The 26,173-nt window shown below is 40.0% G+C and overlaps 1 protein-coding gene and 1 long non-coding RNA gene across 8 annotated transcripts in view, besides 2 other annotated features; one reads left to right on the top strand and one right to left on the bottom strand.

The window, feature by feature from the left end:
• Window positions 1-26,173, top strand: part of STARD13 (StAR related lipid transfer domain containing 13) — a 573,658-nt gene that overhangs the window by 389,185 nt on the left and 158,300 nt on the right. Inside the window, exon 1 of one of the 7 annotated variants that reach the window (NM_178006.4) lies at window positions 1,855-2,140. The exons of the other annotated variants lie outside the window; for them this stretch is intronic. Coding sequence (NP_821074.1) covers window positions 1,972-2,140 — 169 coding nt within the window. The 5' untranslated portion in view covers window positions 1,855-1,971. Of the gene's footprint in view, window positions 1-1,854; window positions 2,141-26,173 lie in introns of those variants that run through there. 7 annotated transcript variants of the gene reach the window in all.
• Window positions 1,553-1,682: an enhancer, noted in NCBI's record as "active region_7578". NCBI's record gives its function as "activates an Ori minimal core promoter by ATAC-STARR-seq in GM12878 lymphoblastoid cells {active_cell/tissue: GM12878}" and the evidence as "EXISTENCE:reporter gene assay evidence [ECO:0000049][PMID:35858748]".
• Window positions 1,693-1,752: an enhancer, noted in NCBI's record as "active region_7577". NCBI's record gives its function as "activates an Ori minimal core promoter by ATAC-STARR-seq in GM12878 lymphoblastoid cells {active_cell/tissue: GM12878}" and the evidence as "EXISTENCE:reporter gene assay evidence [ECO:0000049][PMID:35858748]".
• STARD13-AS (STARD13 antisense RNA) lies at window positions 6,276-10,056 on the bottom strand. Its single transcript, NR_046693.1, has 3 exons — window positions 9,914-10,056; window positions 7,954-8,149; window positions 6,276-6,581 (listed from the first exon to the last, which is right to left on the bottom strand). It is a non-coding gene; the product is annotated as an STARD13 antisense RNA (long non-coding RNA).

Genomic DNA, 26,173 nt, shown 5'->3' with positions numbered 1-26,173 from the left:
TCCATTCGAGCTTCTGCCGAGCAGTTCCTTAGGTCTCAGATCCCTTTCACCTTCCACAGACGATGCTATGGAACAGAAAAACTGCTGCTCAAATCCTAAATAAGAATGGAAAGTGCACAGTATGGCCCCATAGATCTTTCTTTCCCTTCCTGCCATGAAGCCAACCTGAAAACAAAGACATGATGACTCTTGTGTAACCACCCGAAGAGGCTGACAATTACCAACTACGTGAGGTAGTAGGCAATTGTCACATGCTGGGCTGCAGAGATCGTGCTTAACTTGTTTATTCTCATAGCGGGACAGTTATACAAGACGAGCTGCTTCTCAGAATCAGGCTAGCAACAATTCCCTCAGGGAAAGTTGTTAAGGCTTATGGGCCTCGGAGAGCCAGAGTAAGAAGAATCAAAGTCCTAATTTAAATCCTGTTAAACTTTTAATTTGGAAATAATGTAGAAATAATTTCTCATTATTAGACTATAAATTCCCAGCCAGGCTATGTTTCCGTCAGCCAAATGTAGAAGCAACTTGGTCATATACTTTTTGTATCAAAGAACTTTATTCTTTCAGCCCCAGGCTCAGAATTTGATAACATGTTTTCTGTGGACTTTTTCTCTTCACATCAAACAATGTTAAAGAAGAAAAACAGGGAAAATTATAATGACATATACATATATGTCACTCAGTGTGTGTATGTATATATATACACACATATATACACATATATATACACACATATATATATACACGTATATATATACACACACACTCAGATATGGCCAAACTGAATTACTAGCAGTTTGCTTAAACCATATACTCTGGTTCTGGATCTGCACACATGGGTACCTACAGTCTCTTGCAAAGCCCTCCCCAGCCTCTGCCTATCAGAATTCCCCCCATTTTAAAAAGCCTATCCAAATGTCTCTTTCTCTATCTGGCTTGCAATCATCACCCCAGTCAAAAATAATATTGCTCACCTAGCATTGTGTTTGCGTCCTTTTTGAGACATATATATGGCCTCATGTTAGAAGCTTTTGTATAACTTCTCAATGGGTCCTTAGCAGGTTGATGACAGTATCTTTGAAGTACCTTTGCAACTTCTGCAGTGATTCTTGTCTTAAATGATTCAGTGTCTTAAATGTGATAGGCACCTTCTAAGTATTTTACCTCTAGGTGATTAAAAATTGGGGAAGTAGAGAAATCAAAGAGGAAAGGATGCTTAATACGTAACGCGTGTGTACTTTGCCTCTCTGAGTCTTATCTGTAAGAGCCCTCCAATTCCCATCACGTGAGGGTCAGGATCTGTGGTGTATTCACTCCTGGTGTTAAAGCCCTTGAAGTTTATTTTTCACTGGAAAAGTTTTTATTTGAGTTGTTTCTTGATAATGAAGGTGGTGGCTTACGCTCAGCTGTTGATGCTTGTTTGAAGTAGTTTTTTTTTGTTGTGTTGTGTTTTTTAAATTTAAGAGATTTATCAGGTCCATCTTTTACCTGGCTGCTGCTGCCCTGTAGAAAGCGAAGGAGCTTTCTCTAACTTTGACAGGCTGAAAAGTTTCCTGAGCCCTGGACTTGTTTGTCTTCTACTTGTTTTGCCCTTCCCTCTCTCTTTTTCTTTCGACTCCTTTAGTGAGGGCTGCTTTTGGGTGCTTCGTCAGCTCTGAGGCACGTCAAATACGTGTATTTTGCTTTCAGCGTTGTGTGAGGGACCCTGGCGGCTGGAACTGCCTCTGGTCGGGGCTTAGGGCTGACTGCAAACGTTCCCATTTTCCTCTCTTCCTCTCATTGGTTCCCGAGGTCACGTGAGGGCCCCGGGGGTTGGAATTCTGAGTTGTGGCTTTGGCACTCCTCTTTCTTTTTAAAAATCGCTGGGTCTGTTGAGCTGTCCTGGGCTGGGTGCCTTGCTCTTTGACTGAGACTGGAGACAGACGGCAACAGCCACAGGCAGACTGAGGTGGCAATAGGAAATCTGCCGAGATGTTCAGTCAGGTGCCCAGGACCCCAGCCTCAGGCTGCTACTACCTAAATTCCATGACACCTGAGGGCCAGGAGATGTACTTGCGATTTGATCAGACTACAAGACGCTCTCCTTACAGGATGAGCCGGATTCTAGCACGCCATCAGCTAGTGACTAAAATTCAACAAGGTGAGTGGCCGGCAGTGGAAGGCTGTTGCTCATTCTGATTTCTGTTGGCTCTATTTCATGCTAACCCAGTTTTTTTTGTTTGTTTGTTTCCACTTTATAACATATGGATTTCTATGCCACACTACCCGTAACTTTGAAAAATAACTTTAGGCTGCAGTTTTCAGCAAACAGGACAGTCCTTAGCTGCCACATAGCTCAACATAAAGTGCACAAAAAACTTCACGGTGGGACAGTGAATCATAAATTCCCAAACTGACGTGTGTCTACAGAACAGATGAGAACTGTTACTCAGTGTGTATCTTAGGAGCTTTTCTGCAGTTTCCTCACACTCCGTCACATTTAAAATGTGGACACTTGTTTATTTCATTAGGGAGGAGGCGAGGGACTAATGTCCACCCTGCCCAGAGTATTTCGAATATCCTTAGTGAAGAGGAGGAAAGCAAGAATTCTGTTCTAAAGGCCACCAGGCTAAGCACTAGAATCGCATTCTCTTCCTGTTTGTATGTTTATGTCAGCAGTTGCCACAGATGTGTTAATATTGTTTTCCTGGTAGAGAATTAAGGTGTTCGTTCATCTCAAAACAAATCCCGTAACCTGCACACAAAACTCCAGCTTCCTAATGCAAAGAGAAGAGAATATTGATTATAAGCTGCTTGATATTCTTTTTATTCCCAGCCCCTCAAAATACCAGCCTGGAAGTCTGGACATTACTAAAATTTACCAGTCTCAAAAAAAAAAAAAATTTAAAACATGCTCCTTATAGGGTATATCAGTAGAAAGCAGAAAGACGAACATTCCTAAGAAGCCCCTAACACACACGTTTACAGTCAGTTAATGATCACCCTCCTCCTAGACTACAAAAAAGAAATTATTATATTGGTGCTAAATAAGTTAACCAGGAATTTTTAGAGCCGTTCCTAAGAAGCCCCTAACACACGTTGACAGTCAGTTAATGATCACCCTCCTCCTACACAACAAAAAAAGAAATTATTATATTGGTGCTAAATAAGTTAACCAGGAATTTTTAGAGCCATTATAAAAATACAGTTTCCACTTAAATAAATGAGTTTAAGATTATATTGAATATTAAAGAGGAAGTTGGGGTTTGTAATCATGAAAATCTTATTGTAATGTTTCCAGAAAGAACAATATGTATTCTAGCGGGCAGCATTTGATGAGATTGTTTCCTTGGAAATTAGGATTTGTTTGTAAAGGTTCAGGAACTAGTTATGTGTGAAGGATGCTGGTCCTTCCTACATGCTGGTCTGATTTCAGGAAGGATATTATGTCATTGCATAAACTCTGTGTCCAGGTCTTGATTGAATAGAAACAAAAGTAATTATTTCCCTGTGGCTAGATTTAAAAATACTTTAGGCTTAGAATAAAAACCAGCTCCACTTTGGTTTTAGAAATTTCTGACAATGGTGCCTTTCCAAATGCCATCATCTTTATGAACACCGAGGCTTAATGATGCGCTATCATCTACAAGATATAAATGTTCCTCAGCATGCATATCATATGAGAAATATTGCAGAGAACTAGCTGAAATTGCTTTGCAGACCTCCTTAGATGTATTTACAATAATTTATTTTATTTAAATATTATTTATGTTCTTTTTGGAATGAGGGTTATTTTTCCATTCAAGATTTGAAGTTGTGAACACATGCACTATCACTGAACGTGCCCTGTCACACAGACATATGGGCACCCTCAGTTTATGTTTCATTTTTGTCTAATTAGGTAATTTGAGAATTCCCTCTTTTTTATACTGGGCAATGGAGTGTTTGAAGTCAATGAATGCCTAACACTTAAAACTGACAGTTAAGATCACAGGGAAGCAATAAAGATTTCCAACAGTCTTGTGATTCAGAAATCATTATGTGTTAACATCATACAACTCTTTAGTAAGACAATGAGAAAGCAATGTGAAACAATTTTATTGAGTTTATTGTATTAGAAGATTGGTTTACTGTAATTTCAGAGAATGTGGATTAAACAGTTACAGCATACCAAAATCATTGTAGTTAATTTTTTTTATTATGCCCATTTTACAGATGAGAAAACAGAGGCACACAGATTTCAAGCATCTTATCCAAGGTCACCCAGTAGGAACTGATACTTGAATACAGCTTGACAGTCCATGCTCTGCAATACACTAGACTATTTTTTAGTTTTTATAATGAGTGCTAAAGTACTGAACCTATGATTGAGTTTCAGATTATATAATATACTAGAGACTTTTTAGACTTTTCTACTCAGGATACAGCAATACACTATATTATAGGACCAGAATTGGTCACTCATTATGAAATTTCCTGTCAGGTTATATTTCTCTAGTGGAAACAAAGTGCTACATGTTTTATTCTCTTTAACCAGTTACTACCCAATAACACAGGATGTCAAGTTATTTTACTAAAAGCTTTGTTTTCTTTTTGTTTTTGAGACAGAGTCTTACTCTGTCGCCGAGGCTGGAGTGCAGTGGTGTGATCATAGTTCACTGTAGCATTGACCTCCTGGGCTCAAGCGATCCTTCCACCTCAGCCTCCTCAGTAGCTGAGACTTACAGGAGTGTGCCACCATGCCTGGCTAATTTTTAAAACTTTTTTATAGAGACAGGGTCTCACTATATTGCGCAGGCTGGTCTCAAACTCCTGGGCTCAAGTGATCTTCCTACCTCAGCCTCACAAAGTGCGGGGATTACAAATGTGAGCCATTGTGCCCTGTCACTAACAGCTTTTAATCATTCCATTAATCATGTGCAAATAAAATTAATGACAGCATTATTTTCTGTAGTTTACAGGTTAGTATCTTAAAGTGACAGCCACATCACTAAAATTGTTTGCATTATTCTACTTTAGAGCTTTAAGATTTAGAATTATGTTAATTTGATTTAAGACATCATTACTTATAATTTCTCATGGTTGTTGGGAACAGTGGAAACAAGTAAGTTGCTCCCCACTGACCTCATTATAGTGAGATAATCATTGAATGGCGTGCACATGATTCAATAGCAGATACACTCATGGGGAGGAAAAACAAGGAGGAGAAATAAAGGAATCTTTGATGATGCATAGAATCAGAATTCATTATCCAAACCCAGGATGAATCTAAACTTGCTCATCTTAGGGTACACATCAAAACATACATGCATCATTTCTCTAGCCTGTTTTTTAGTTCTGGGGTTGCAATTCCATTTCAAAAGAGAGGAGATGTTTAAAAGAGGGTGTTGTTTTGCAGAGTGAAAGTTTATCATAAGTCATACTGCCCATAATCCCTACCCCACATTCTTGCTTGAATCAATAGGGAAATTGTTGTAGAGAGAGAGAATGGAAATAAGAATGGTCCTTATTTGCCTCACTGACTGGCGCTTGGGAGTGGATAGGAGAGAGGATGCTGGGGGTGGTGGAAGACCATGTTAGGCCAAGGAAAGGGAGAATTGGATTTTTTTCTAATTTTTTTTATTGTGGTAAAATACACAATACATTAATTTTGCCATCTTAACCATTTTTAAATGTATGGTTCAGTGGTACTTAATACATTCATAATTCATAATATCCAACCATCACCGCCATCCATCTCCAGAACTCTTTTCATCTTGCAAAACTGAAACTCCATACCCATTAAACAAGAATTCCTCATTCCTCCTCCTCTCGGCCTTTGGCAACCACCATTCAACTTTCTGTCTCTATGAATTTGACTACTTTAAGTACCTCATATAAGTGAAATCATACAGTGATTCACTTTGTGTGACTGGCTTATTTCACTTTGTACAATGTCTTTGAGGTTCATCCATGTTATAGCACATGGCAGGATTGCCTTCCTTTTTAAGGCTGGATAATATTCCATTGTATATCTATACTACATTTCACTTTCTGTTTTTTTATTAGTAGCCATCTTAATGGGTGTAAGGTGGGAGAATTGGATTTCTATGTCATTATTTGATGGTTTTGATTTATTAGTTCTACATCATTATTTGGTGGTTTTGATTTAGTGCAACATGATGGATGCACCATGTTTAAAGTCTACATACACACACACACACACACACACACACACACACACATATTTGGAAAACCCAAATGTAAGTAGAAACATAAATGTGATTGCTTGCTTTGTGAAAGAACTTATCACACTATTATACTTTTTATTTTATTTTAAATGCTTAGAAAACAGCATAATCCGGATTGCAGTCAAGTCCACTGAAGTAGGATAAGGAGACAGGCATCCAGGCTCTGTATAGAAGCTCCTTCGCTCCTTTACAGCGTTGAGTTCCAGAGCTTCACTGGACCTTTGGTTTTTGATGAGACAATGAAGTGGATGGACTATGATTGCTCAAGTTTATTCTGTGTCTCAGGTTCTGGAATCCTCTCTGTGGTTAAGTCAGCAACTCTTTGAACAGGATTGTAGAAAGCAGGGGAACATAAACGTAACATACTAGAACCTAAAAAGGCAACAGAGCGGCTTTATTATGTGGAATATATCAGTGGCTTACAATTGTTCTACAGTTTCTCAAGGAAATGGTAAAGTGGAAGTTAGGTTTTTGTTCTACCTCAGCAACTAATTTATTGTGTGATCTGAGAGAAGTCACAGCTTCTCTAGACCTTTTTCCCTTCTTCCATTAAATAAAGGGTTTGGATTAAAGAATCTCTGAAGTCCCCATCATCTCTACATTCTAGGATTCTGCAATCACAAGTATTACCTTAAGACAAAAGCAATGCATATTTACATTTTTCTTATTATGTCATTCAGCATATACCTGGACATGCTTCCTTGAAACCTGTGTCATGCTTTCATTAATATCGATGTAATAGGAATGTTAGGAAGTCCAGTCTGTTGAACTATTTAAATGTCAGTATAACTATAATTATACAGAAACTTGTAAACACCTTTCTTTCTCCAAAATCCAGGCCTGTAAAGTGGAATTGTCTTGATGCCTGACCTATAGCAAGGATTGCAGCTACTGAAGGAAGTCCGTGTGTGTGCCTCTTACCTCACAATACAACCTCTTTCTTTTCTTGATAGAAAATGTGGAATGTAGAAAGTTTCACTACCGAGAAAGTAGTGAAAGTTAAACTGTCATTTGAGTTGCCATTCTATCTGAGGCTATTTTTAAGTAGATATGGCACCTGATTTGAACTCAACTGGAGTGGGATATACTGCCTTTTAAAAATTTCCCCAGAGAATGCCAGTGGGCATGAGTGATGTATTCCCCCTCATTACTATGTCAAAAGGCATCTTGGGAATTTGCCCAACCTAAGTGGTGAACATGGCCCATCCCCATGGCCCATACCCCCAGCAACTGGGTAATGTCAGCCTAAATTAAGCAATCATTTGTTCTTTTGGAATTGCCCTTTCTCTATGTTTAGTACTTTCTTGCCCGACTACTTTCAAACCTGGAGGGTGAATGCACTGGCAGAAAGACAGATGGAACACAGGAAGCAGGCTGAGAATGCATCAGTCATGTATTGCTCAAGTTCTGTCTGTTTGTTTTTTTTTTTAAGAGTGGCAACTGTCATAAATTCACATTTCATGAATCAGAGCCTCTTTCTACTCAGTGCTGGTGTTTGGAGGGCCTGTACAGAAAGGATACTGTTTAACCAAAATTACAGGAAAATCTGCTAAGTGAATTAAATTAACTAACTTTGACTAACATTTTAAAAATTACTACATAGTAAAACTAAAAGAAGTCAAGAAATGAGTACTGGGAGGAAATTAACAAAAGGACAATATGCTTGTAAACATATAAAACTTGAGAGTTTAACTTTAACCAAATTGTAGGTTCAATAGCTACACATCATTGCTTTATAACTCACACATTGGCCAGGGTGGCCAATCCATTGGAGTTGCCTGGAGCAGCACATGACACAGTAGCACAGGGTGTACAGAGATGGGTATTTGCCTTGTGCCTTCTTCTGTGCCAATCGTCCAGGAGTTACTCTGTTGGCAGAATGTTGAAACTTCTGTTGTTCAGATGCAGACAGTTGCCAAATTTGGGTTCTGTAACTTTAGCTTAAGTAAATAAAAATTCATTTTTTAAAATGTCTTTCCCTCTCCCACCTTCCCCAATCATCAGTGCTTTAATTCTTAGCAAATTTTGGACAATGGTCAACTCTTACAATGCAAAATTCCTCATTTCATTAGCAAATTAATCATGAACACAGAAACACAAGTTAGAAAAAACAGTCACTGCTAGTGGTCTTAATAGTATCAATTGATGACCTAAAACAGATTTAAAAAGAGAACAAATGATAAGTGGGTTTTGGCAAAACTCTTATATAAAGGGACATAAATAGATGGAGATTTAGTGGAGACATGTCATTAACAAGAGTACACACTTTCTCTGTGTTTCATTAGCTATGACAACAGGGTAGTGAGGCAATCAAGAAGACTTAAGAAGATAGGAGAACCTGAACATGCATTGCACACCAGATATTTGAATGATCTAAAGACCACATAAAAAATATTTGCCGTCTCCCTTGGAGCAATTGAAATATGATTTTGGTATGGGGAAAGATACTATATATTAATTTACATTCCACCTCATTACCTAGAGGATTTGAGGTCATTTATAGAAGAATATATAACTAAAGATTGCAAAAAAGATAAATCTGATGAAAAGAGAAATGTTGGCCAATTAATGAGGTAAAACTAGGAAGATATATCACATGGAAATATAAAATGTAAGGCCTTGAATAATAATCAAAAATGGGCTGCAAATTTGGCTTGAGCTTCCCTGATCTAAGCAAAGAGGAAAACACAACCAAGGGAAGATTTTCCCTGTTCTTAAGGTAAGAACTTACCAGCCAAGATTTTCCTGGGACTTGCTCTTTGGGAGAATTTTCTCCCAAGAACTTGACCTATGAGAGGAATTTCTCATACAAATCTCATAAAGGGAACACTGCAAGCTATAGTGAATGGTGCCTTCAACCATGCCTGCTGTGAATTCAGTAGTGAGTCTCATTTCTTATAACATCCTGCAGTGGAAATGGGGGCGTCACAATAAATTATAGTCCAGTAGAAATATTTGGGTGTGGGTGGGTGGGTAGGTAAAAACGAGAGGTCAGGTATGCAGTCTTCAGATTCTCTGTCTTAACCTAGAAATAGCATGGAGATTATCCACAGGCAATTTCTATAAGTCTGCTTCACAGAACACTAGGCCCATTAGACAGATATTCAAGGGAGAAAACATTTCTGTGGTTAAGTCATTTTTGGAAATGCTACATTCCCTTTCCCTTGGAAATTCAGACTTATGAAAGGCTCAGGAAAATCTTGCACAAAGTAGTTTAACTGTGTTTAAACTGGTATATTTCATCTTGAAACCACTTTTCACAGGATACTGGGAAGTCACATATTGCAAAACCAGCTTTCCCTGGGGAACACATTTTGGAAATGCTGATCTAGGAGAGTATGTGGCCTACGCTTCCCTTAGATAATTCTCTCTGAATATACTTCTTGCATAGATTTGGCAGTAGATACTTTGAAGTTGTGTTTTGGAGAGGAACATTGCAAGTATTCTATGTTTTCCAAAAAGGCCAGCCACAAATACTTTAAAAGTCAACTGAGTAAAGGCCAGATGACCATCTTTTTATGAAAATTAACAACCACACAAAGATTCTATCTTGGGTAGGCAGAACAGAAAGCTGAGTCGGTATATGGGTAGAGTTAATAATTATAACATCAAGAATACAACCATTCCTCAAATAACTCTACAAGATAGGTACTGTTGAGCCAGAAGGAAGAAATTATTGCCTTCTAGCTCTGGCTTTGTCTTACCATAATGTAGTTGAAGTCCTGGGTGAGGTCCAAATGGTTCTAACATTAATGTAGCTAATTCAGGATATTCCATTACTGCTGGGAAGTGGAGTCACTGCCCCACAGGAAAGAAGCAAGAAACTCTTCAGAAGTCTTAGAGTCTCCTTTGCCGTGGGTGACATGGGATATGGACTCACTGAAGCTCAGGCACTGATGGGTGGCTCCGAGAATTTCTGAATTCATGGTCCAAAAATATCTTTGGTTATATAAAGGCTCTCCTAGTATGACAGAAAGAAGTGAATGAAGTAAAATTATGTAGATAATTCTAATTAGTAAAATCTGCTTGCTTTAGTTATGGAGACAACTTATCAATTTCCAGGAAGTCTACAAATATATTCTTCAGATGTTTTTCCTCCTGCTGGCAAAGAGATACACATTAGCATTCACATTATGAATGACGCTTCTGGAGAGAAATCACACAACATCCAAAAACTCCAACAGAATGCATAGGGAATTACCATACTGCCTAGCCCAAGCCGCCACACTGTGAAGTCACTCAAGACCATGGTGGTCATTCTGGACTGGTGCAGTCTAGGGAAGGACCAAGTACCATGAAAATTTATATACTACTGTTTGAAAAGACATGAATTCTCTCTCTTTTTTTTTTTTCAGAAGCTTAGGATCTAAAATAATCTAAATGGAGAACTTGGAAAATAACTTCAAAATTACAGAAAATGCTAATGCTGTTAGCAAAAGAAAATCAATAGAAATAGATCTACAGTGTCTGGCTAGACTGTCAAATGATTTTCCTCACACAGCATAGGAATCCTGAGAATTTTAAAGGTCTGACAGAGGCAGAGCTTACTAAAATACAAATGATTTGTGTTGCTTTGCCTCCTAACAGTTGGATAAAACACAAGGGCGAAACAATGCAGAGAGATTGGAAAGGAACTTGGCAGTCACCAAGTACCTAATTTACATGTCAGGATTTCGAGCTGAAGTAGGCATTCTCTTCCTGCATTCCAACTCTCCCCTTCCTGCTTACTTCTGAAAATCATACATATGGACAGCAGGAACCTTTGATTAGTATTCAATCTCTATGAGTGAACAGTAGCATTTCATATACATTTATATTCACCAAACGACACACTGGATACAAAAAGTATGTATAGTCATAAAATCACATTTTCCTCTGAGAGTTATACCACCCTGAAATTATGTATAATATGTAAAATTATTATAAGAAATAAGAACGATTCACAAATCCTGCGTTAATGATATTCCAACGATTCTCACTCAAATAGACGGAGTTCTTATTTGAGAAAATTAAAGAATCTTCTCCAGATGCTTTGAGGGACACAACACATTTCCCACTACATGCATTTCTCAAAATAGAGTGTGAAATCCATCGCAAGGCCCTTACTGTCTGGACTTCTGTAAACCCATGCGTTATGTTTAACAGGTTCTTAATCATCAAACCACCTTCATTTTCACCATTGGTCTCTTTCAGATAGGAAAGTCTACTGACCTCCTTCCCTGAAAATTTGGATCCTCATATTAGCATTCCATTCCACTTGCTGTACTTTTAGTTGGAAGGTCTAAGGCAGACAAAGCTGCTTAAATATTTTTATCACTGACTTCCTAGAAGAAGGAGGAAAAAATCTTGGCAAGAAGAAGGGAAATCAGTCTTGCAGAATATCTTGAAGAAGCCTGCGAAGGAATTCCACTGACTGTGTTCATTATCTATTGGTCCCAATACTGAGTGGAATTTTTATGTGTTATCACTGGCCAGGGTGGCCAATCCATTGGAGTTGCCTGGAGCAGCACATGACATGGTAGCACGGGGTGTACAGAGATGGGTATTTACCTTGTGCCTTCTTCTGTGCCAATCTTCCAGGAGTTACTCTGTTGGCAGAATGTTGAAACTTCTGTTGTTCTTAGGAGCAAATAATTGAAACATGTTGGTTGAATTTCAAGACACCTTTTCTTCTCTTTTTCAAATAGCCCTGTGATTACAGATAGCCTTGATTCCTGTGGGATCAAGAATGTCTTAGGGATGTTGTCCATCAACCCAAACTCCAAACTTACTATAACTCTAATTTAGAGCACTTTCAGGGCTTTGGAGTCATGTACACGTGAATTTGAACTCTAGCTCTACATCATCCCCATAGAGTGACCTTGGACGAGTCACTTAATGTTTCTTAGCTTTTGTTCCTCTGTGGGTAAAATGGCATTAAAAGAGCAACAGTCTCAGAGTTATTGCAAGGATTAAATGAGAGACTATAATTAAACACAGATCACAGTGTCTGGCACATACTAAGTGCTCAATTTAAGACAAAATGATTATTAAACATCCATGTACATATGACCCTTCAAACTGCTGCATCATCAACTGAAGAGTAAATTATGTTTGAGTAAGTTATACACTTTGTATCATGTTTATTATGGCAGACATATATAATGCCACATTTTTTGTGTGTGTCCTCATGTCTTCCAGAAAATTTGAAACAAAAGAGGTTTTTTTTCTTAAACTGTAATGAAAACCATTGCCTTTTCCAATTGTGGTTTCCTGTGGACACCAGTTGCTCTCTCTCAAGTTGCCCTGAACTGGCCTGAAATGGTGGGTTTAGGCCAGGCTTCAGGTCTTATAGATAAATAGTAAAGCCCGTTGAACTTTACCTTGTAGCAGTGAAAGAGACAGTCCTTGGCAGGAAGTGTTCCTAGCTCTCGGAATCACTTGGTGGTAAATACTGAGCTGAGAGGGCAGGAGTGCTGGAGGAAAGGGCTGTGCCTCACATTAAACCGAAGGGCCGGGAGGTTCTTGGTGGGGGTAAGCGGGTGGGAATGAAGTCTGAGGCAAACATCATTAACTGGTAATAGATGGGACATTTGGGTTTAAAACTGTATTCCTTAGAACCCAAATATCCGTTTAACAGCCATCTTTTCAAAGCAATCCAATATCTATTTTTGATCCTCCAGTGATGGCAGCAGGAGGCCACCAAACCCAGGTTGGGGTGATCTTAGATAAGTCACCTAAGTCTTCCGGTTCTACATTTTCTCTTCTATCATGTAAGGGGTGAACGGATCAATCTGTAACTGAGGTTCTGGAAAGCCAATTTGCCCAAAGGCTAGTGCTACATTCGTCATGGAAAACAACTTAAAAATTATAAAACATGGTAATGCTTTGAATGACTGTCTTAGTTTGCTGGGGCTGCAGTAATAAAGTGCCAGAGACTGGGTGACTTAATCCCAAAAATATGTTTCACAGTTCTGGAGGTTGGAAGTTGAGAACAAGGTGCCGGCAGGGTTTGTTCCTTTGGAGGCCTCTCTCCTGGGCTTGCTGACAGCTGCCTTCTTGCTATCTTCACCTGGTCTTCCTTCTGTGTGTGTCTGTGTCTTAATCTCCTCTTGTAAAGACACCAGTCGTATTGGATTGGGGCCCATCCATATGATCTACTTTTATCTTAATGACCTCTTTAAGGGCCCTATCTTCAAATATACTCACACTCTAAGGTATTGGGAGCAAGGACTTCAACACATGAATTTGAGGAGATGCAATTCAGCCCCCACTACATGAATCAAATATTTATTTCCCAATTTTATTTGTTACATCAAAAAAAAAAAAGACAGACTGATTTTTATGATATGCCTCTGCTTACCAGCATGGTGCTGATTGCTTCCATGTTTTTGTCTTATTCAATACTCAACAGCCCTCCCTTGAAGATCGATATTAGTATCTACCTGTTTTCAGCATAGGATACTGAGAAAACATTCATCACAAGCTGAAAGAAAATGAATGAAAGAATAAGAGTATATATTTAAAAAAATTTCAACTCTCTCAAATTCTTGTGATTTTTCTAAACTGAGGTTAACTTTGAGATTTTTGTTAATTTTGTAAACCTTTCCAGTTTTACATATCTTTGTGGAGAGAAACAGAAAAAAAGTGCTGTACAATGCATGTAAATTTTCTAATGCCCACTTGACAACTTAAAAACTAAGCTCTCGTACTAATTCAAATGAATTATTTAAGAAACTTTAATTGCCCATTTCCTCTAAGGATTTCATTCCTTTTGATTGAGGAATATTCTTCATATTTGTTGAATCCCTCAGCTATGAAAGACTGCCTACAAATCTGATCACTATCAATTTGTTGAAATTTATTCTTAGAGTTTAATGGACTAAAATCTTAACAATTAAACATTGTGGATTCTTTTGCGTTATTGATTTTATGGAATATGTATACTCTTAAGTCCCCCTCTATTTAGAAATTCCTCCAGAAAGAATAGAAACATCCTTTAGTACAGTCTTATACATCATAAGTTACATGTTAATCTTGAGCCTTGCAAAAACCTTGTTTTGTAGGATAAAATATTGGCTGTCTGCATATGGTATCTTGGAAACCCTGAAAAACGGTTGTCATATTAATTCCTTCACCAGTGTAGTGCATGACACTTTGTGGAGCAATTCCACATGCATTGTCATTTTGAAGACAGGTGTCCAATGAAATTATAGTCTTGTATTAGGAATCTCTGTCCTCTGAAATCTTTCAGAGAACTGAAAAATGCATAGACAAGTTTTCCTACTTTGACATGTTTCTGATTTCATTTTCCTGAATCATTCCTTTGGAATCGAGTTTTGTTGTATGGAAAAACACATTTGTCCAAGAGGGCGCTATCAATAAGTGGAGACTGACTTGATATAATAAGGAAACTTGGCGGCATGCAGCTGCAATTGTAAAACATTAACCGGTAAAAGAGAGATTGTTTCAGAGTCCAATTTTCCCTCCTCCCCAACCCCCATTTAGAGTAAAATTACTTCCTCACCTCCCAATTGATAATTGCATTTCTGCCAAAGCCATTATATTTCTGTTGGTTTCCCATGAGTTTCTTCTGTCACTTTTGCCTCCTTCTCTGTCTTTGGTTACCTTAGCAGAGCTGGCCCTGGACACTGTAGCTTCCATTCTGTGAGGTTTATTGCTTTGTTCGATAATGCCAGGAATGACGTTGAGTTGAGACAAGTTCTTTTCAGATCATTAGCTGTCAGTCACCTTTCCTTCAGGCTGCTTGAATCTGTGCAGCTGCACCCAGAGGCCCAGGCAAGCCATGCCTCTGACTACGGGAGAATATTTCCACTGAATCACCCATGAAAAGACTCAGGGTTTGTCATGGATAGGCAGGTTGTCAGCAGAGTTTATTAACCTTTAAGATGTACTTAGATGAAATATTTGGGTCTGGATTGGTCATTTGACTTTTATATTTCTCACCACAATATTGAGCCTTTGAAATGTTTACATTTTAAAAAGTAGTAACAATATACTTATGCAGGTTGAGTAACCCTAATCAGAAAATTCAAAGTCTGAAACGCTTCAGAATCTGAAACTTCTTGAGCACTGACGTGACACTGAAAGGAAATGCCCATTGGAGTATTTTGGATTTCGGATTTGGGGATTAAGGATGCTTAACTGATATAATGCAAATATTCCAAAATTTTTAGACATCTCAAATCTGAAACACTTCTGGTGCCAAGCATTTCAGATAAGGGTTACTAAACCTGTAGCTACTTTTGTTGAGGACCCACTGTGATGTACCAAGAACTATTTTCAGCACTACCTATATTACTATTTTATTTAATTTTCATAAAGACCTAAGAGTTAAGTTTACTCATCTGGAAAATAAACATAGTAAGACCTAACAGATGAGTAAACAAATTCTCCAGGAGTTAAATAAACTTTCCCAAAGTCACACAGCGAGTGGGAGTTGGAACAGGGCTTTGAACTCAAGTCTGGACGATCTGGGAGCCCACGTTATTCTTGACTGTGCAACCCTGTCATCTTCATAATTATACGTAGGCATGTTTACTTGGAACCAAGAAGTTTTTTTTTTATTTGTATGTTTTATGCTTTTTTTTTCCCATCATTATAGACCTGGTTGGTTCTCCCTTCCTCACCAACCCCTCATGTTGCTGGAGGACCTCATTGTGCCACCAGCAGCAAAGCCGTGTGCCCATCCTATACTAACTACCCTCCCACTCCCCTCTTGAGGGCTGGCTGCTCTTTATCAAGAACTCTGCTTCCCAAGTAAATGTCCAAGGCATCAGGATTCCCAAGGGCAGGATCCAGCATGTTGCTGAACCTACCTGAGGTTCCTAAGTTCCTACCTAAGGAATAGGCGTCACAGAAAGTATGGAGTCTTCTACCCGCAACCTCCTTCCTCTACTTCCAGCCCTTCAAAATGCTGCCCTTCTTCCTAGAAAGTGCTGGGGTGGGATGCCCATTCTCCCCCAAGTTTTCCCGGGGCACCTGGGGCCCACAGAGCTCAGGGCCTCTTGTGACTTCACAGTGGACCTTTTCTGACACTAGGGAGTACAAGGAGTGAGGTGGGAATTGGGTAAGACCTGTGTTGTTCTCTAGACAGTGGATCTGGAACTCAGCCATCCTCTAGTGAGAGAAAAGTGTGTATTAAAGGAGGGTCCACATTTTCAGAGAGAAGTCTTGGGTGGAGATTTTTTTCTTCCAGATTTTACAGTTCTGTCCTCAGTCATAGCTGAGGCCCGTAGACCAGAATAGTTACAGTTGTATTCTGCACTTGTAGCTAGTGAACAGTAGCCAGTCAGAAAAAAGTATCAATGTTCTGCCAACTTCTGGTGTTTGTGAAATTTTGCCAGAAGCAAAACAGGATCAAAAATAATAAACAGACCTCCTCCCTGGCTTCTTGACTGCTATTTACATAAAGAGATTGATGAACTGACTCTGCTTGTGGGAGTGTGCAGGGAAGGGAATTTTTAAGGAGAAAAGGTTAATTTTGGGGTCCTTGGTTGCAAGTGATTTGAGGTTTTCTTCACTAATTGGGTTTCCAGAGACAACCTTTACTATAGATGGTGTTGCTTCTCCATTATAAGCAGCCTAAACTATGGATAAGACAACCTGACACATGGATTACATGCAGCTATAAAACTTCCACAGGGAAAGAAAATGAACCTTGAAAACAAAGGAATAATATGAGCCTTAAGTAGAACACTTATGTTCCCAGTAGAGGGAGAGACCTAATTTGTATGGCAAGCTTGGGAAATCTGGGTACGGGAGGCCTGGGTTCTCGAGCACGTTTGTCCTAACATGGTAGTCATCGATATTTTTGTTAACCTCTCATGCCTCAGTTTTTGAATCTATGAAATGGGAATACTATTAGCTCCTACTATTCTGTAATATAATTGAGGAAAAAGTAATCAATGTGAAATCAATTCAAATGGAAGGTGTGGTGCTCAGTTCTAGAGTGCCTGAGGGATGCTGGCATCTGTTAGGGGTCACTAAACTTGCCTGCATACAGGTGCCATATAAAGCCAGACCCAGCTCTTTGCTGTCCTCAGTTGCACCAAAATATAACTATATTTGCTTCTCTTCCTTGAATAATAATTCATACCACTCCTCAAGGATATGGGAATAATGTGCCACTCTGTGCTGTTTTGTTTTGTTTTTTTGTTTTGTTTTAGGCCGAGTCTCACTCTGTTGCCCAGGCTAGAGTGCAATGGCGTGATCTCAGCTCACCGCAACCTCTGCCTCCCAGGTTCAAGCAACTCTCCTGCCTCAGCCTCCCAAGTAGCTGGGATTACAGGCACCTGCCACCATGCCCAGCTAATTTTTGTATTTTTAGTACAGACGGGTTTTCACCAGATTGGCCAGGCTGGTCTCGAACTCCTGACCTTAGATGATCCACCCACCTCGGCCTCCCAAAGTGCGGGGATTTCAGGTGTGAACCACTGTGTCCAGCCTTGTTTTGTTTTTATTCGGTTCACAAATGGGCAACACCTACTTGAATAATTCTCAGCTTCACTTTAAATATTTTTTATATATTTGATGCACTGTGAGCGAATGTATATAATTAATTAGGGTCATTTCAAACTCTAGTTTTCCCTCTCATTTTTCTTTCTTCTCATTTTTCACCTTCATTCTGAAGTGTCAAGAATTATACTTTGTATTTTTACTCAGCTTATAAATATTGTTTCACCTTTAATAATTTCCCATCAGCAGGAGGAGAATAAAACCTTTTAAAGTGAAAGGTACTGTGCCATAGACTGAGGGACTCTGACAAGTCCAAGTGTCATAAGTCATAGCTTTCAAAGTTATGAATTTCCAAATGTCAATTGGGCTTACTGCCTAAGGCCGTGATTTTGTGTGGCTGGCTATTCCTAGGCAGAAGAGCCTGGTGTGGGTGTCTAGCTGGAGGCTTCCAAGTACTTATTGTGGTCTTAGCGGGCTGTCTGACTCTGAAGAGACTTAAGGACCCCAATGTCACACCGCCCACATTATCTGATGAGGGATGCCTGGTGTTCCCCTGCCATCCTACCTAGCACAGCCTGAGCTGGAAAGTCTTAGGAAAGTAGGGTGAAAGTTGCCGGAAACACACACTGTATAAACATATTCCTTAACGTGTTTAAGTTTTGTTTGATAGTTTTGATATCAGTATTATTTTGTTTGCTTTAAATATTTGAGTATGCTGATGATGGTAGTTTTTAGGGAAAAGGGTAGTTACTAAGCTGATACTCATGTGAAAGTCTTCAAAAATTGGTAAACACCCTACCCATTTGGTCATTATTTGGAAAGTCTGGGTATCCTAACTTTTTTTTATCTTCTGAGTGGAGCTTGAGGGGAATGTGAATGAGGAAAGAAAGCGCTTATGTGGCAGAGGAGTACCCAGCTCATGGAATGGCTTGTCAAAACTTTTTGCTCCAACAAAAACTTAGACTCTACATTGACTTCTTCCTTACACAAGAAGGTGAGACTAACTTCTCGTGCCTCCAAACTTCCTGGCAGCCTTTGGTTTAGCAGAACACATTTCTTGTTTATAGCTGGCTCTGCTCACTGAACAACCACTTAAATAAATTACCATGTTTTGTGATTGATGCTAATAATCTGACATGGAGTTATTAAGACTTCAGATCCTTGATTTATTGGAGAAAGAATCTTTCAGATGTTTCTTTTGTTTGGCTCTGAGAAGCTGTACATTTTCTGAAACTTGTAGTTGTAGAGGCCATGTTCATTGCTCTAAAGCATGGCTTTGGCGTTAGCTGGACCTACGTTCAAATCTTAGTTCCAGCACTGATGCGCTGTGTGACCTTGGGTAAGTTCCAGGAACTCTATAAGCCTATTTCCTCGTCTAAAATGGGAATAATAATAATAACAACATCTTCTGCCTACAGTTGTTTTAAGAATGAAGTGTTCTCACACCTGCAAAGTGCTTATCACAGAGCCCGGCTCTTACTCAGGGCTCAGTGTGTGTTACTTTAAAGGGAAAACAAAAAAGGATATTAACCATCAGCAACACGGCCAGTTCTGCTATGGATGAACTACTTATGGGGAAGATGAAAATACCCGAGCTTAGATAAATACATAAAGTAGAAGCTAAAGAACAGCCACAATCCTAGTGAATCTGAAATGAGTGTTTAAAGTATCCTCAGAGGAAGAAAAAGTATAACAAGGGCAGCTTAGAAACTGCAATTTTAGCAGGGAGTTTTCTGATCAAATGTATTTACCTTTGAAAGCAGATAGCTATCGAACTCTTGGTATGATAGATAATATGTTTTGTCCTAAAACAAATGAGACCAACCCCCAGAAGTCCAGTGTATGAACTTCATCTCTGGCATGAAGTTGACAGAAGCGTGTCTAACCTTTGATAATGCCTACTCTTAATATTTCAAGTCCAACTTCCCAAAACGAAGCACAGAATCTTTCAGACATTTGCCTTAACAGTACAGTTAACTGGAAACTAATAATACATGGTCCCAACTCCTCTCATAAGATGTGGTAAGATAAGCCCAGAAGAAGCCTGGGACAGTACCCTTCATCCCACCCTCTAGTTTGCAGCCTCTTCCACAGCTGAGAGGGAAAGAGACGGCCCAGCAGCAGAGACAACATATCTTCCATGGCCAGAATCCCCTCAGCTTCTTGTCAAAGACAGCCTTTTAAGTCTTCTAATCTAACTACGTTTTGCCAAACTCAAAACATTGGATCTTGCATTTGTTGTAACTCCACTGGCTTACAGAAAATGAAGTGCATTTATTGTCTTTCTATTTCTGTACAGGGGAAACTAGTCTTCCATTCACTCACTCACTCACTCACAAGATTGTTTGTAAAGTAGCTACTCTGTGTCAGGTGCTCTCAGGTCCTTGGGATATAACAACGCATTCAAATACAATATCACACCAGAGTTTGATGGGCGGACCTTAAACAGGCTCTGAGGAATGTCATAGGTGCGGGAACGGACATCTGTGTGGGGAGAGTGGAGGCACAATGGAAGGTTTCAGTTCTCATGATAGCTGTTGGGTTGTTGTTGTTGTTGTTGTTTTAAGGTTTATTGTTCCATTGCTTCAGCTTCTATCCCTTGGTCAGAAAGTGTCCATGCCTGTCTTTACTGGGAGATTGAGGGAGGATTTCTTGTTAGCTGTCTGGGGAATCATGAGGTTATGACTTCATCAGTTTTTGCCCTTTTATGTGTCTTCCTTCAAATTTGAATAGGTGGTCCAGTCTGGGAACAGGGAACCCTCTCCCTTTTGTGAAAGTGTGCTGTCCTTGAAAAACCAGGGCCCACCCTCTACGGAGAGTTTAGCTGTGTGCTGACACTGCTGCACTCGAGTTTGTGTTCCACCTGGAAGGATTATGATAAGATAGTGGTAAATTTCTCATGAATTCAACTTTAGTAACATAGCAGTAACTTATCACAAATATTTAAGAGAGACTACATTTCAGAAACAGAGACCACTTTTTCCGCATCAGCTCTTCTATTGGAGAACCTAGCCTAGTCAATATCTCAACAAATATTTGTTCAAAGCCGATTGTGTGCAAGATCTTTTCTGGGATTGTGTATGATGCAAAAATTATATAAAACATGATCACTGCCTTCAAGGAGATTATAAGTAAGTGTGATAAGACATATAAACTGTCATAAATATTGACAATTCAAGGGAGCGTATGGCTTAGTGACTGACAGGCTATCAAAACAGGCACTTAGAAGTATGTGTAGGCAACAGAGTGGTAAGGTAAAGAGGGGAGACCACTGGGCCTGAGCCATGGGAAGAAGCTGTATTTCCACCGGGCAAAATCGCAGAGTTGTCCTAAGCAGGGCAACAGAATGAGTGGAAAAGTATGACTTGAGCAATTTAGAATGTAGTCCAAATTCAGTGACATGTGGAGGTTATAGGAAATACAGATGATAAGGTTGGCAAAAAAGTTTGAGGCCAGACTGCAGTGAGTTTGAAATTTATTTGATAGGTAATAGGGAGCTCCTGAGGGCTTTTAAGTAGAGCAGAAATAGGACAAAAAGAGCAGCCTAGAAAGATGAATAGATAAACATGGGTTTGAAGTGGCCAGACTGAATGTAAAGATATAGTCATCGTGGTTGAGCATGTATTTTATGCAGGCCCTGCCTAAACATGATCAATAATTATGTCATGTAATCCTCAGAAGAGGAAGTACCATTGATGTTCCCATTTTAAAGATTAAGAAACGAAAACCCAGAGAGGTTAAAGTCACTTGTTCCAGTTAAACCCAAATAACTAGCGGAGCCAGGAGGTGAACCCAAGGCTGTCTATTGCTGTCTGTGTTCTGCCACAGCTCCAGGCTTCTCCTTAGAGTGGTTGTTGCTTCTGCTGCTGCTGCAGTTACAGTGACTACTCAGAAAAATACCATGAGGGATGAGGATCTTAACTATGGTGATAAAGAAATTATAAATACAAGAGATAGCTCCATAACTTTTCGGGATGGACAATGTTTACATGCCTTATAAAATTTTTATGTTTACAATTCCTAATGTATCTCTTCATGTTCTCTCCCCACTCCCCATGATAAGAACCCATTAATTTGAATTTATTACTGTACCTTCTGCTTGAGATTTTTATTCTACTTCAAGACACCTCTTCAGTGATTTGTGTCATCAGTAATTCTTACTCAGTAAAGTCTGGGTCACCTTACAACAGAAATTTCACTGGAATCATATACATTTTCTTCCTGCTTTTGGCATGACTAAAAATGTATTGAAAAGGGATAAATACAATAAACTACGAACATTAAATGAATTTAATATGAGTGGCAAGGAGATTTGAATTTTAAACTGCTAACATTATAGTTGCTTGAACTATTTCATATTTTATAATTCTTAGAGTAAAATTTGCCCAAATACAACATAATTTAGTGCCTGATTTTAGAAATGTGAATAAACCAAAACACTAGTTAAATTGGTACAAGTTGTCTGAAATAGCTGTAAACCCCAAGATTAATTTGTAAAGAAACTCAATAAACAAATGTCCCTATAGGACACCTGTTCATATTGTTTACACCAAATTCCTAAGTGGTCTGTCAGCATCTTAGCAAGAAGGAGATTTTCAAATGTGAACTCTTCCAGAAGTAAAGATGTTTAAATATTTAATGAAGTAGGAAATTGCACATATTTGCCTCAGGCAGCTGCCCCACTGATACTGAATAAAAAATACTCATAGAGTATTTTATAAGAGCTATTAATATAGAGTTTAACTTCTCCACCTGAATTGTAGTTCAGATTCTGAATCTCTAGCTGCAGGTTAAATCCAAATTAAATGAGATGAGTAAGGAAGCTTCAGGAAACAGAGTTTGTGTGCTTCAAGGAGGAAGAAGCCACCTCGGAGAACTGGCTTACTCTGAAAATGCGCAAATGATCCTGAATGATCTCTGTGCTCATTAGCACCCCTGCACACATTCTGCTATTCTCTCAGCACACTCTAGTCTCTTGACTCCTGTTTGGAAAGCAATGTTTCACTATTTCCCTCAAATCCAGGCCACTTTTATTTCTCTTCATCAAGACGGGTTGTCTCTAGGGGTCAAGATGGGCAGAGGTTATGTTGAGTCAGCAAAGACTCTCTGCTTGGCAGGTCATGGTCACACCCATTCCCGTAACTTCTCCCAGCATGCAAGAACTAGAGGCCACTGCCCAGCCTCTGAGTCAATGCCAGGTTGTTCTCTAGAATAGGCTGCTCCTGACCCAGTAACCAGCTCCGGAAGTTTCCAGGCTTCTCAAAGGAGCCTTCTTCTTTGAAGGCTCCCACTTAGTGTTCTTGTCCCGTATTTATATGTCAATGCAATTCTCTCTTTCCTGCTGATCAAGCCATTCTGTTCATGGGTGGCATGGAAGAGGTCATAACCTCTGCAACCCTTCTATGTGTCAAGAAAGACCTCTAGACTCTGCTGATGAAATACGTGACCCTAATTGCCTCTCCATGCCAATGGCAGACTCATTCCCTGGCTGTTTCTGACATTACCACCAGCTGAGCTAAACCAACAGGACCCAAGTTCCTCAGGGAGCACATTGTTTGGGCAATTAGTGGTTGAGCTCCATGGAAGTGTGATCCATGACTGTTGCTATGTAACAAACTGTCCCAAACTTAGTGGTATTAAACAACCATGTTATTATGCTCATGGATTCTGTGGGTCAGGAGTTTGGAAAAGACACGGTGGAAATGGCTTGTCTCTGTTCTTTGATGACTGTGACATAGGCTGGCAAGACCTGCGGGCTATGCCTGGCTCAGTGACTGGGCTCCAGGAACATCCGAAGCCTTGGGCACTTGCATGACTGGCAGTGGATGCTGCCTCTCGGTCAGGACCTCAGTGAGACTGGCAGCTGGTGCATCTACATGTGTCCATGTGGTTGCCCAGGCTTCCTTCTTCCCCACATGGAGACTGCATCCCAAGAGTGAGCAAGGCAAGGTGTGTGACTTTTTATGATCTAGTCTTGGAAGTTGCCTCTTCACTTTTTCTGTATTCTATTAGTCAACATAGCCATAAAGGTCTGCTCAGGTTCAAGAAGAGCAGACCCATTATTCAATCGGAGGAGTGTCAAATAATTTGTAGATTAAAAAAATATATGTTTGACACATTCAGTAATGCTGGGTTCCTGTCATTTTTTCTGGCATGTGGCTGGCACCTAACTGATTCATTTGACTGAATGCTCCAACTAGAATCATCACGCGATGTTCTTTTGTCCCCAACATGAAGAGAGTGCTCGGGTGACATTCCATGTATGCCAGCTGCATTGCACCAATTCTTTGGTTGTGACTGTGTGAATAGTTGCAGGCATCATTCTGTGCAGTTTCAAATACATTAGGCTCATTTAAGCCCCTACAAACCCCGTGAAACAGGAAAGAAGAACATACTCCCACTCCCTTCCCAAGATTAAAACAAAATCCAGAATCTCTAAGCAAGGCCAATTGGTACTCAATTTTATCCCAAACCTGGTTTTCCACCAAAAGTTCTCTCATTTCATTTGTAGCTGTTTACTTTGCTGCTCCTGAATCCTTGGGAGGTAGAATTAAAGTTTCTGGGTGATGTTTTATTAAACATTTAAAGGAGAGGGGGCTCCTTTACAGCAGAGGCTTGCAAGCAGGTACAATTTTGCCCTCCAGGGAACATTTGGTAATATCTGGAGATACTGTTGATGATCACAACTAGGGGGTGGGTGCTGCTGGCATCTAGTGGGCAGAGGCCAGTGATGCTGCTGAACTTCCTGTAATGTACAGGATGCTCCCCCACACCAAAGAATTATGTGGCCCAAAATAGTGCCACTGTTGAGAAACGCTACTTTACAGGGGGTTTTATAATCCTTCTAATAAAATGAGGAAACTGGGGTTCAGAGAAGCTGAGTGACTTGCTTAAGATTCTACGACTAGTAAGTGATGAGCCAGAATGTAGACTCTCATCTTGAGATCTTCGGTCTCATGTCTTTATTTCCTATGGTACTTGAGCTGGCCTTGCCACCTGCCTGTAGAGAGAGGACTTGGAGTGGGGAGTGGGTATTCTTGCTTTCCTGGAATTCTGGGCATCCACCACACCCATCTAATAAGCAGAAGTCACTGGGATGGACATTGTGCTCCTGCAGTTTTCTTTACTCATTAGGATCCAGGGGCAGGGCTTACATGAGCAGAGTGAAGATTTCGGTAAGGCCTGGGTGGGAACTGGACTCTAACCTCCCAGATCGAGACTTGTAAATAACAACTGAAAAACTAGAGTACAGGGTGTGTGTGTGTGTGTGTGTGTGTGTGTTGTGTGTGTGTGTGGGGGGGGGGGTTCTGGGTGTGGTGTGGGAGGGAAGTAAGATCTTATCCCACAACAATAAGCAAACAGCTAATTACTTGTAATTTTGGAGATAATTGTTTTCTCCTCCTGCAAACATGCCAAACAGGAAATTAATTTAAACCCCAGAAAGTTCGAATCATCTGCAGATTGTCAGGAAAGAAACACTCATTATCCCCTTAGAGCCCCCATCATATCTAACAGGCAGGCTGAAAAGTGCAGCTGCAGCACAGGGCTGCCACCTCTGTGCGAGGTCCCCCCACTGGCTGGTGGCTGGAGAGTAACAGGACGGAGCCTCTAGCAGAGGCAGGACCGAGGCAGGCAGACGGGGCCCAGCTTCCCATTGACACCTGATTCATGCCACCTGATGCAGAATGTCTCACTGTGAGTCATCCTTGCTGATAGACCTATTCATCACTTTGAATTCCATGTCAGTGCAAGAGCTGGCTTCATTCGGCCTTGGATAAATGAGTCTTCAGGTAATAGATGACAGTTAAAATATCAGGCAAATGTTATCTCCAGTGAAAGACTTGGCTTTGCCCGCTTAGTCTGTTTTGCTTCTCAGCTTAAGGCAGTCTCTCTTCACTTCTAAGAGGGAGGATGAACACAATCCAGATTGTTCATTTAGATGAAGCATCTTCCTCCTCCTAACTTCTCACTGCTCGTGGGCCCGAGTTCACCAGGGAAAGCCTTCTAGGGTTGAGCAACAGAACAAAAGGAATGGGCTGCCCTGCCTTCCGAACCCAAGCAACCCGTGCATACAGTGTTTTAACTGTTCTGGAAAGAATGAAGCATTCATAAGCCCTTCCATTTTCAAGAAAAAAATTTCCTGTGACATTTTAATCCCCTTTTGTGCTGGAGAATTTTTAGAGTTTTCTCCTGCCAGTCATCTCAAATGTTTTGTATCTTTCCCTTTTAGCTGAATTGCGTATTATGAGCCATGACCCACAATAAAAAATAATGCCACTGTTATTGAATGAAAGTCTCGTTCTTTGGGTTATTCTGGGCTATGGGGTCAGCATATAAATGCTGACCTCTGAAAGTCCAAAGATGTTATCTAGTTGAGGCTTATGCCGGGAGAACAAAAATGAGCTGTGAGATGAAAATGACCACCTGGGATCTCCAATTTGGTTTATGTTTCCGTGAAATAGTTTCTATAAATGATATGAGTGGGTGCCACTGCATTTTCTCTAAAA

Source organism: Homo sapiens, chromosome 13 (genome assembly GCF_000001405.40).
Source record: "Homo sapiens chromosome 13, GRCh38.p14 Primary Assembly".
NCBI classification, from domain to species: domain Eukaryota; kingdom Metazoa; phylum Chordata; class Mammalia; order Primates; family Hominidae; genus Homo; species Homo sapiens.
This window is presented reverse-complemented; position numbering and strand designations above follow the sequence as displayed.